The sequence below is a fragment of the Homo sapiens genome, chromosome 2, assembly GCF_000001405.40.
Source record: "Homo sapiens chromosome 2, GRCh38.p14 Primary Assembly".
Classification (NCBI taxonomy): Eukaryota; Metazoa; Chordata; class Mammalia; order Primates; family Hominidae; genus Homo; species Homo sapiens.
The window spans coordinates 42,963,396-42,975,561 of record NC_000002.12 but is presented as its reverse complement, the minus strand read 5'-3'; the positions used below and the strand labels follow the sequence as shown (position 1 = coordinate 42,975,561).

Below are 12,166 nucleotides of genomic sequence, written 5' to 3'. Positions count from 1 at the left end.
CCGCTGGGCTGGGCTGAGAGTTCCCTTATCCGGTAGGGATGCTTCGGAGTGAACCAGCTGACCAGACCCTGTCCGGGGACCCCAGCCGAAAGCAGGACTGGAGGGCTGGAGGAAGACAGGAAGGGCAACAGGGACAGAGTGGAGACGCAGGAGAGCTGGGGACAGGCTGGCAGGCGGGCGGGAGTGACTGGAGCAGGGAGGCCCCGTGAGGGTCCCAGGCGCAGGACGGCTGCCCCCCAGCCGCTCCAGTCGCGTCCCTCTCCACAGAGCGCTTCCCAGCCAGGCCCGCAAGTCCAATCCCAGCAAGACGGCGCCACCTGCTGCGGGGAGTGGGCAGCGCAGCTCACTCCTGTCGGGGGTTTGAGAATTGGGGGAGGGGGTAACTCCCACCCCAGGAATCACCGCCTCTTGTCTCCCCCATCACACCTCTCAGGTGGCCAGTGTGCTGCCCGGCTCCCTACTGGCTCACTCCCCCAGCCCCCTGCCTCCTCTCCTCCAGCCGCCCCCGTGGCCACAGCGTCCTGGGGGGCCTCCCCACGACTGCCAGTTCCGCCCCAGGGCTTCCCCCGTCACAGGCCTCACCGTCCCCCAGAGAAAGGCCAAGGTCCAGTAGGCTGAGCATTCCTCTGGGATGAGGACGGCAGATTGGGGTTGGGATTCGCTGGGCCCGTCCCGAGCTGGAATGCTGGGGTCAAGAGACTTTTCAGAGCAGAGGCCTGGGCTCCGTGTAGGACTTGAATTAGATGCTTTATCTGAGATGAGCTGGGCTGGGTTCAGCCTGTAGGCATGACTGGAGGCTGCCAGGCCTTCCAAAGACTTCTGGAACTTTTTCACCTCTTCCTATCCCTACTTTTTGCATGCATAGCCTGGGTTACTGCTGTCTCCTCCTGGACTCACCCTTTCTAGAACCTTCTCTCTACTGCCCAGCTAATCTTTCTAAACCATGGAGCTGATCCCTCCACACCACTGCTTAAATTCCTGCATAATCTCTCTGTTGTCTTCTGGAAGAAATCCAAACCACCCCACCCAACTAGCAGAGCCACGCTTCTTCTGGCCCTCCCAGCTCCATCTCTCAGCACTCTCCCACCTGTGCCTGATGGTACCTCATACCAGGGATACCTCGTGCCTGCCATACCTCTGCAAGAAGCAGCCCAGGCCTCACCTTCTGACCAGCCCAGCCCTCTCCCAGCAATGTATGCTCCCCATGCACCCATCACACTTCACAGATGTCACCCCTGTACTGGGTATCATCCCTTACTCAACTGTGACCTCTGAGGACAGGGACCTGGCCTTTGTCTCTGTAACCCCAGCACCTGACAGGCATACAGGAATGAATGAATGAATGAATCTGTGGTCAGGGATGACAGCCCAGAAAAATGGCATGCTGACCAAGTAGAAGACTGGTCCAGCCCTCGATTTCTTGCCTTCCCTCTCCCTCTCTGAGCCCTGTCTCTCCCTTCCTGCCTCACTTCTAAGTCCCTCCGGGACCCTACCTTGCCTTCCCTCTGGGAGCTCCCTAGCAGCCTCTCTGTAGCCACGCCACACTCCCCTGTCACCCAGCAGACAGAAACCAGCCCCCTCACTTGGCCAGGCCTCCAAAGGCTTCCCCATCTGACCAGTTTACAGTTACCAAGTCTCCTTCTCCAGGGAAGAGCCACTCAGGGCAGGATGGGGGGCGGGGGCTCTTCTGCCCACTCACAGAAGCCTCCCTGGCTGCCTGACTGGGGTAGCTCACTCTGTCCTCAGAAAGCCCAAATCACTTTGCTTGGACCTCAGACATCTTGTTTTGCACTAGGGACTTTACATCTACCCTGCAATACCATAAGCTTTTGGAAAGCCTGGACCACATGGGGAGGTGTGGCTTTTTTTTTTTTTTTTTTTTTTGAGACAGAGTCTCACTCTGTCACCCAGGCTGGAGTACAGTGGCACAATCTCAGCTCACTGCAACCTCCACATCCTGGGGTCAAGTGATTCTCCTGCCTCAGCCTCCCGAGTAGTTGGGACTATAGGTGTGCACCACCATGCCCAGCTAATTTTTGTATTTTTTTTTTTTTTTTTTTTTGAGAAGGAGTTTCACTCTTGCCACCCAGGCTGGAGTGCGGTGACACAATCTCAGCTCACTGCAACCTCCACCTCCCGGGTTCAAGCGATTCTCCTACGCAGCCTTCTGAGTAGCTGTGATTACAGGCAAGTGCCACCACGCCCAGCTAATTTTTGTATTTTTAGTAGAGGTGGGGTTTCACCGTGTTGGCCAGGCTGGTCTAGGACTCCTGACCTCAGGTGATCCACCCACCTTGGCCTCCCAAAGTGCTGGGATTACAGACGTGAGGCACGGCGCCTGGCCAATTTTTGTATTTTTAGTAGAGATGGGGTTTCCCCATGCTGACCAGGCTGGTTTCAAACTCCTGACCTCAGGTGATCTGCCTGCCTCAGCCTCCGCCTCCCAAAGTGCTAGGACTAAAGGTGTGAACCACCACAGCTGGCCCTTAGGTGTGGCTTTCAATGCTAGGTTGTCATAAAAGACACTGAGGCTTCTGTCTTGCTCTTTCAGATAACTTATTCTGGAGGAAGACACCTGCCATGCCGTGAGGACAGTCAAGCAGTTCTGTGGAGAGATCCATGTGGTGAGAAACAGGGGCCTCCTGTCAACAGGAAGAACAACCTGGCAGGCCTGTCTTGGATTCAGAGCCTCCAGCCCCAGTCGAGCCTTCAGATAACTGCACCCTTGGCTGTCATCTCAACTGCAATCTCACGACAGACCCTGAGCTGGAACTACTCTGTTTACCAATGCCTGGCCCACAGAAAGACTATGAGATAAAACAAGTATATTGTTTTTAGAAGATATGTTTTGGAGTAATTTATTATGCTACAATAGATAATACAGAATTTGGTGATTTTATGATTCTCAACTCCTGGCCAAAGCAAAGCACACAACAAGTCTCAAAGAAAAGTCTCACAAGTGGAATTGAAAGTACAAAGCTGGCCAGACAAGCTTGTGCAGACATGTATGTGGTGGAGTTGAAAATCACACACTACGACTCACACAAGTGAGTAAAACCTGCGTCTTTCTTAATTTTTCTTGTACTCTTCTCATCTAGATCTAATGAGATACTTCCTGCTGTTGACAGGCAATAAATGAATGAACGACAAAAACAAAACAAAAAGAAAAGAAACAAAACAGAAAGAAAAGAAACAAAACAGAAAGAAAAGAAAGAAACAAAACAGAAAGAAAGAAAAGAAATCTTTAACTTGCCCACTACAGGTTTCTCTATTTCTGCATGTTCAAGCAAATCTCCTTTCAGCAAAATACTCATCGTTTTCTCCCTATTCCCTCTTCTGCTAGCCAGATGTCTCTCTTCCTGGTGCAGGGAGACATTTACAGACCTCATGGTGGTGGGAAGAGGAGTTCAAGGTCGGTGTGGAGTTCTCTGCATTCTTCCCACATACCTTCCCCACACACAATGGGACAGGGCTGGTCGGGCCTGGTCCCTGGGATCCCTGGTGGCATTGGTGATGGTTGGGGATGGAGAGGGGTACTGATGAAGTGAGTGGTCCCCGCACAAGGCTGGTGGTGCAGATCCTACCTCTGTGTTCTTGATTTCTCTTTTTTTTTTTTTTTCTTTGAGACAGAGTTTTGCTCTTTTTGCCCAGGCTGGAGTACAATGGCGTGATCTCAGCTCATCACAACCTCCGCCTCCCGGGTTCAAGTGATTCTCCTGCCTCAGCCTCCCAAGTAGCTGGGATTACAGGCATGTGCCACCATGCCTGGCTAATTTTGTATTTTTAGTAGAGACGGGGCTTCTCCATGTTGGTTAGGCTCGTCTCAAGCTCCCGACCTCAGGTGATCCACCTGCCTCGGCCTCCCAAAGTTCTGGGATTACAGGTGTGAGTCACCACACCTGGCCTGTGGCCTTGATTTCTACCCTTTCCCTGGGACCTAGGACCGCCTGGCTGCATTCTACCCCTCCAGAAGAGGCAGAGTTCCGAGAGCCACTTCCTAGACTGCTTCTTTAGACATTTCTAAACTACCTCCTGGGCAGCGCCATAATGTGTTACACCTTCCTCAATCACTGCTTTCTTAAAGGAGTTCACTGAAATTCCCCACAGCTGTCATCTGAGAGTCAAATTCCACCTACCTTGTGCGGTGAAATTTAGCTGCAAATGTGGCTGGGGTGTCTCCCACACAGCCCTCTGAGTGTCCACTGGGGTGAGGGACAGAGCTTTTTGCTTCTCACCTTCTCTCTTCCTTGAGTCCTGCTGTTCAGTAGCTGTATCTCTCCATCCCGTCCTACCTCATCCGTCCTGGATGACTTGCTTCGATTCAACCCTACACTTACTTCCCCGGGCAATGAACGTCACCTTAGCCTTCACCCTGAAGGGCTACAGGAGAACGAGAATTATAGAAAGTGAAAATACATCCCTTTGCTATTTTATAAGTGCTATTTCTATAACACATGCATACCCGAAGCACACACACTTGCATGCAGAGACCCAGAGACAAGCTGATTCCAAGACCCCAAACACACTAGAGACACACCACAAACACCCTAGGGCTGAACTGGGGCCTGCTCAGGGAACCCTTGCCTGTGACTTCTCAGTATCATCCAAGGGGACCCACCTGCTCCTGGAGCCTCCAGGGGGATCCCTTGTTTACTCTCAAGATGATTGTTCTCACCCCTTCTCTCAAAGGCCCTGGGAGTGAGGCAAAGAGGAGGGAGCGCCACCTCTAATCAGATCCTCCTCAGGATAAAAAAAAAATCAGCAACTGGAGATGCCCCTGGCTGGTGGACTACTTCTTTTTTTTTTTTTTTTTTTGAGATAGATAGATAGAGTCTTGCTCTGTTGCACAGGCTGGAGTGCAGTGGCGCAATCTTGGCTCACTGCAATCTCCACCTCCCGGGTTCAAGTGATTATCCTGCCTCAGCCTCCTGAGTATCTGGGACTACAGGTGTACGCCACCACGCCCGGCTAATTTTTGTATTTCTAGTAGAAATGGGTTTCACCGTGTTAGCCAGGATGGTCTTGAATTCCTGACCTTGTGATCTGCCCACCTTGGCCTCCCTAAGTGCTGGGATTATAGGCATGAGCCACTGCGCCCAGCTGGACTTCTATAGCTTCTACTGCCTCCTGTCCCTGCAGGCTCTTAGATGGGTATCTGGGCTCAGTCTCCTTTGCTGAGCGCCAGACACCTTGGTCAGCTGCTCCAGGACTCTGTCTGATTTCCCAAAGGCATCTCCAATGCAGCCATCCCAAACTGACTCATCCTCTTCCCCAGGACAGAGACAGGCCTCTCTCCATCAATCCCTCATCCTCTGGCCCTCTATTCTAACTACCCCTCCCTCTCTCTAACACTGCGATGGGCAGGGGCTTATCTTCTTCTTCCCACCTGGTCCTCCTGTTTCTACCTGCCTCCAACCCCCTCACGGCAACAGGGGGACTTATCTTGATTGGAAAGTGGGTCTCATGGATTTGCAGCCTCACGTTGAAAAACCTGTCACCAACTCCCCAGCGCCCACAGGATCACACCCTTGGGCAGAGCAGTAAGCCCCATCCTTCCCTGGCCTGGCCCAAGTGCCCCGCACCCAGCTGCAGCCGAGGTGAGCATTGCAGGGTTCCCCTCCTGGGCCTGGCACCCTCTGGCTTCGGCCCCTGTCACACACAGGGTTGGAATGCTGTAGCTCCTTGCAGTCCTGCTGAACTCATTTTTCAAGATCCTGCTTGAGTCACCTCCCTAGGGAAAGCATCCTTAGTCAGAGTTTATCATTCCCTTCTCCAAGTTACCCTGGAACCATATTCAAGTTTCTCCCAAGGCAATTCTCCCATCCTCTGCCTGGCTGCAGCACCCTCACCTCTGGTCTGGACTGTCAAAGTCGCCTCCTGACTGCCCCTTGCCCTTGCCCCCTGCCCCTTCCAGTCGGCTGTGGACCCAACAGCCCAAATGGTCCTTTGAAAATGCCAGTCAATACACATCTCTCTGCTCACAACCCTCCAGCACCTCCCATTTCACTCACGGTCAAAGCTAAAACTGCACAGTGGCCTCCGACTCCTCCCTCTCTGGTCCCCCTTCCCTTTGGACCTTCACTTCTACCCTCCATTCTCTCTCCACCCCAGCTTGCACCAGCCTCCTTGAAGCCCTGAACACTGCAGGCCCCTCCTCTCTCTGGGCCTTGGCACGTCCCCAGACACCATGCTCATCTCCCTCGCCAGGGACTGTCTTTGCTGCAGTCTTGCCTTCTCAGGGAAGCCCACCCTCCCTGCCCTGGACACCACTGCAACCAGCCCCTACTTCCTGGCCCTCCTCCCCCTGCCCCACTTTTCTTTCTTTCCATAGCATGCGTCACCTTCTAAACATATTATTTAACCAATTTTTAATTTTTTTTATACTCCATCTCCCTTGCAAAAAGTGTCAGCTTCACTAGGGCAGGGTCTTTACCTATTCTGTTCACCGGTGGCTCCTATGAGCCTAGCAGGGTGCTGGTACACAGTGTGCACTTAATGTTCAAGCAATCGATCCATCCACTAAAGCTGTTCATTGGTTTTTGTGGGGGCTCCCTCGGCAGTTGGGGAGGTCCTGGAGACTGAGTTCATGCTCAGTCACCTCTGGATCCTCAGGGCTTAGCCACTGCCTTGGCCACAGTGGGTATGCAAGAACCATCTATTGAATAAATAAATGAATGGGGCCTGCTCCATTGGTCAAGGGAGAGACTTATGGGCTGTGCAGATCAGAGGATCCCTCTGCCAAGTGATATTATTGCCAGATTGTTCCTGGACTCCTCACCTGTGCCAGGACCTCACTCTCTCCAGAATCCTGCCTCACCCCTTTCCCCTTGGGTCCAGTTCCCTCTGCCAGTTTGGAAGTGGTTGATATTCATCTCCACTCCAGAGAGGCTGCCTGAATACTGCATAAAACTTGATGGTTTCCGAGAGAAGCATGAACTGTGAGCAGGATCAATCCCTCACCCCAAAGATTTGAAGCAAAGTGGTGCAACCTGACTGCAAAAGGTGTTCTGGTGGCCTGGGCATAGGCATCAAGCCAGCCCTGGGCAGGGAAGCTGCTGGTAACCCCAATAGAAGGTGTCTTGCCCTTCCTAGGTGTCTTTCTAAAGACAGGGACTTGGTGCAGGGGCTCAAACAACCCTACACACAGAGCTGGAGCGAGAAGCCACAGTGGCCCGGGGCCTCGCTCACCCCATCGCCTTCCATTTCACCCTCTCCTCGAGGCGCTCGGGCGCTATCAGGAGGTGATCAGGGCGGGACTGAGCTCCCCAGGCCCAGGCTGGATCCCATTGTAGGCTTTGGGGGTTTCAGGCTGTTTTTGGAACCTCGGTCATGTGTCCTCCCATGTAACCTGAGCCCCCTGACACGGCATGAGTCTGCACTCCAGCTCTGAGCCACATCTGCTTCTCATTTCCGCCCCAGGAAAACGGCCCAATTTCCAGGAGCCACTGGCCTAAGCCAAGCCTCCAGCCTCTCAGCAGCCAACTCCACCCAGCCCAGCTCCATTACCGAGGTGGGTGTTAGGGGTTGGGGGCTGAGACAGCATTAGTGGCAATGGGGTGTGTAGTGGAGCTGGACTGGGGCCAGGAGGTCTGAGTTCTTGGGCTGGCTCTGTCAATACCTTGCTTTGTTGTCCATGGGGAAGTCTCTTAACCTCTCTGAGGCTTGACTTTCTCATCCATGAAATGTGTTACTCTACTGATGGAGGTACTATCAGGATTTGGGGACCAAGGTGGCTCCTTGGGGATAAAAACAACATAATTTTCCCAAAAACAGAACTTAGAGGAGTATAGCTGCTGGAGCTGGCCTATGTCAGGAAGAGGCCAGAAGCCAGAGCCACTTTCCCACCTGAGCAATGGGTCAGGCCCACCCCTGGGGTAGTTTGGTAGAGTTTGAGCCTAAGTCTTTGGGGTAGAAAAGTCTAACCCCAATTCTAAGCCCTTCACCTACCAGCATTTATTCAGGCCCTAGTATGTGTCAGGCCCTGGGCAGGGGTGGGGAGACCAAAGTGATAAACACAACTTAAACTCCTCAGGGTGGAGAGGAGCCCACAGGTAAATAAATAAACACAGCCCAGCCCAGTATTGGGAGGTCACGTGGACGAGGTGCGGTCAGGGGGCAGAAGTAACACTTTCTATTTATATTCTTTTAGTGGAGACCCTTAATTTTTAAGACATTCTTTTTCTTTTTCTTTTTTTTTTTAAGAGATGGGGTCTTGCTATGTTGCCCAAGCTGGTCTCAAACTCTTAGCCTTGAGCAATTCTCCTGCCTCTCCCTCCTCACACCTGGGATTACAGGTGTGAGTCCACTGTGCCTGGCCAAGACATTCTTAAGTTGATATTTTTTTTCTGTTTACAGCAAACTTCATCCTCCTTCTAAGAAAGACAAGGTCTTTAGCACCCTCCCTCCAGGTATCTTCTCCTATTCTCCACATTTTTTTTTTTTTTTTTTTTTTGAGACTGAGTCTTGCTCTGTCACCCAGGCTGGAGTGCAGTGGCACAATCTTGGCTCACTGCAACCTCCGCCTCCCAGGTTCAAAAGATTCTCATGCCTCAGCCTCCTGAGTAGCTGGGACTACAGGTGTGCACCATCATGCCCAGCTAATTTTTGTATCTTTAGTAGAGACAGGGTTTCACCATGTTGGCCAGGCTGGTCTCGAATTCCTGACCTCAAGTGATTGGCCCACCTCGGCCTCCCAAAGTGTCGGGATTACAGGCATGAGCCACAATGCCCAGCCCCATTCTCCACATTTCTATTTTTTTTTTCTTTTTTAAGGCACAGAGTTTCACTCTTGTTGCCCAGGCCTGAGTGCAATGGTGCGATCTTGGCTCACCGCAACCTCCGCCTACTGGGTTCAAGCGATTCTCCTGCCTCAGCCTCCTGAGTAGCTGGGATTACAGGCATGTGCCACCACGTCCAGCTAATTTTGTATTTTTAGTAGAGATGGGGTTTCTCCATGTTGGTCAGGCTGGTCTTGAACTCCTGACCTCAGGTGATCCGTCCACCTTGGCCTCCCAAAGTGCTGGGATTACAGGTGCGAGCCACCGCACCTGGCCGCAATCCTCCACATTTCTAAATCCCAAATCAATTCCCCCTTATAGAAGCTCATCAGTGACTCCCCCCCCCACCCCCCCCCGCCACATGGCAGGACCCCAAACCTTGTATGCCACCCCTGCTGCCCTGGGTCCTGCACCAGCCATGACCTACTATGCTACCTGCTTCCTCGTAATAGGGCAGGGCCCTGGGTTGAAGGAGCTGCGGGGGCTGATAAGGGTGAAGAAGAGGGCGGCCACATGGGAGGCTGCCCCTTAGCTTTGCCCCCTGCCTACAGGTTGAACAGCAGGACATAAGCAGCACACTGTACAGCTCCCCAGGGTCCTCCCCCTTCCAACATGTCCCTGACAGCACTAAACCATGACCCTGTAACACAGGTACTATCTTTGTTCCCATTTTACAGATGAGAAACCCGAGGCTCAGAGAGGCCCTGTAATTTGCTCAAGAACAAGAAACCACTACATCTGAGATCTTATCCTTCTGACCCCTCGATCCGGGTCTTTGCACAGGCATGGCACCACTCTTGAGTACCCAAGTTAAAATTCCAGCTCTATCCTTTAGGAATTTGACCTTGGCCAAGTTCTCAAAGTCTCCTGTGCCTTACTTTAAAAAATACGTTTCTTTAATAAATGCACCTCAATAAAGTTATTGAGGGATAATTTACATACAACAAATGCACAGATTTTATGTGCCCAGCTTGATGAATTTTGACAAATGGATACCCCCATGTAATAACCACACAGTCAAGACGTGGAACATTGTTCTTACCCCAGAAAGCCCTTCCTTCCGTGCAAACAAAAGGAAGCAAACAAAACTATCTGCCTCATAGTGTTAGGAAAATCGAATGAGATAATACAGGTGAGATCCTTAGCAAGGCGCCTGGCACGCAGGAAACGCTGGATAAATGCATTGCTATCATTCCCTGGCTGTCCCCCTCCTTGACTGGGGCAGGGATCAGGGCATATGCTGAACCATCTCCCTTCTCCAGCCTAAGGCCATTTAGCCAGACTAGAAGAAGACTCGGGGGGATGGAATATGTGTCTTGGAGGAGACTTGGAACCATTTTCGTAAGTCTCCAGAAGCCATGATGGGGCTGGGGGTGGAGGAATTGGCCAGCTTTTGCCTATGTCTGGCCCAAAGATAGGGTTTTGCAATCATAGCTCACTGAAACCTCAAACTCCTGGGCTCAAGCTGTCCTGTCTCAGCCTTTTGATTAGCTGGGACTACAGGTATATATGCCGCCATGCCATGCTAATTTTTAAATTTTTTGTAGAGACGGAGTCTTGCTATGCTTCCCAGGCTGGCCTCAAACTCCTGGCCTCAAGTGATCCTCCCGCCTTAGCCTCCCAAAGTAAGCCTGGCCATCCTCTGTTCTTTTGAGACTCAAAGGATGAAGGCGCTCATGGCAGGGCCAGCTTCACAGGTTGGTGACCAAGGCAGCTGCACAGGGCCTTGCTGTCAGAAAGTCCCCACAACTTGGATTAATGCTCCCATGTTATGTGAAATCCTTAATAATTTTTGAACAAGGGATCTTGCATTTTCATTTTGCACTGGGCCCTGTAAATTATGCAGCTGGTGGTGATGGTGGGGAGGGTGGAGCAAGCTGGCTGGTTTCCTCCCTAGAAAAGCCAGTGCTATTGCCCTCCCCACTTCCACTCACTGACTACACACAGCTACACATGCTCATTCACCTCCATGGTCCCCTCTCTGTCCCTCTCCACAGTGGGGCATCTAGGAGAATCTGGGTCACTCAGGGCCCTCCGCTGCCAGGAGACACCAACAGAACCTGGAAGCCTGCTTGGCCTGGAAACCCCCTTGGGAACAGCTCCTGCTCACAGGGCCTGCTGGGCAGGCCACCCGAATTCCCATCCTCTGACACTCCTCTCCAGCCGCCTCCACCCAGCTCTGCAGCTCAAGTGCAAAACCACAGCTGGGTGCCAGCCAAGGGGTCTTGGGTTTCATCACATTCAACTTCCCACACCTCGGCCAGAGGCCAGGGTCGAATGGGGCTGCTGGCCAGAGGCCTGGGCTGGAAGGCAGAGGAGGGGGTGGGGTCCAGTCCTACCCTCGCTTCCTATCCATGGCAGAGTACCCCCTCTCTTAGGCCTCAGCTTCCCCTCTATGTAATGGGACAGGACTCCACAGGGCTGGAGCAGATGCCAAGGATGTCGGGAAGGAAGGCCTCAGAGGCCAAGGCATCGAAGGAGCTCCTAGAACTTCACTGTCCAATATGGTGGCCTCAAGCCTCTCATAGCCATTTAAATTTAAAGGAATTTAAAGGAAAGAAAATTCATATTTCAGTTCCTCAGTCACTCCAGTCACTTTTTTTTTTTTTTTTTTTTTTTTTTAGATGGAGTCTTGCTCTGTCACCCAGGCTGGAGTGCAGTGGCACAATCTCGGCTCATTGCAACGTCTGCCTCCCGGGTTCAAGCGATTTTCCCACCTCAGCCTCCTGAGTAGCTGGGATTACAGGCACATGCTGCCACACCTGGCTAATTTTTTTGGTATTTTTAGTAGAGACTGGGTTTCACCATGTTGGCCAGGCTGGTCTTGAACTCCTGACCTCAAGTGATCCACTCCCCTTGGCCTCCCAAAGTGCGGGGATTACACGTGTGAGCCACTGAGCCTGGCCTCCAGTCACATTTCAAGTACTCAGTAGGTAGCGACAGGTGGCTCATGGCCACTGTATTGAATAGCACGGATACAGAACATCTCCGTCAATACAGAAAGTTCTACCGAGACGCATGCCCTGGCTAGGAAAGACCAGGTGCCAGGGACACTAGTAGCTTTACTCTCCTGGGGTGGGGAGCTGGGGCAGGGGGCTGTGATTGAGAAACACTGGAGACATCCTCTCACTCCTCTCCCCACCTCACCACGGATGAGGTGGACTCGCCATGAGGGGAGCCAGGAGCCTGACACCCAGTACAGGTGTGGACACCCCAGAGGCAGCTTCCATCCTGACTCCTGGAGTGGAAAGCAGGCTTCCTGGGTCCCTGGGAAGAGGCACTGGGGGAAGCTTCAGAGAGGGAGGAAGTGGCCAGAAGCAGGTGCTCTTCCTAGCAAAGGGCTCCCCAGGAGCTACTTCCAAATGGGAAACATCAGCCCTCCCCAATCC

General features: G+C 52.4%; 1 long non-coding RNA gene across 1 annotated transcript in view; it reads right to left on the bottom strand.

Moving 5' to 3' along the window:
- Positions 1-3,405: 3,405 nt before the first annotated feature.
- LOC112268413 (uncharacterized) overlaps positions 3,406-12,166 on the bottom strand; it is a 31,124-nt gene continuing 22,363 nt past the window's right edge. Inside the window, exon 3 of the long non-coding RNA XR_002959381.2 lies at positions 3,406-4,380. This is a non-coding gene — a long non-coding RNA (uncharacterized LOC112268413). The remainder of the gene's footprint in view (positions 4,381-12,166) is intronic.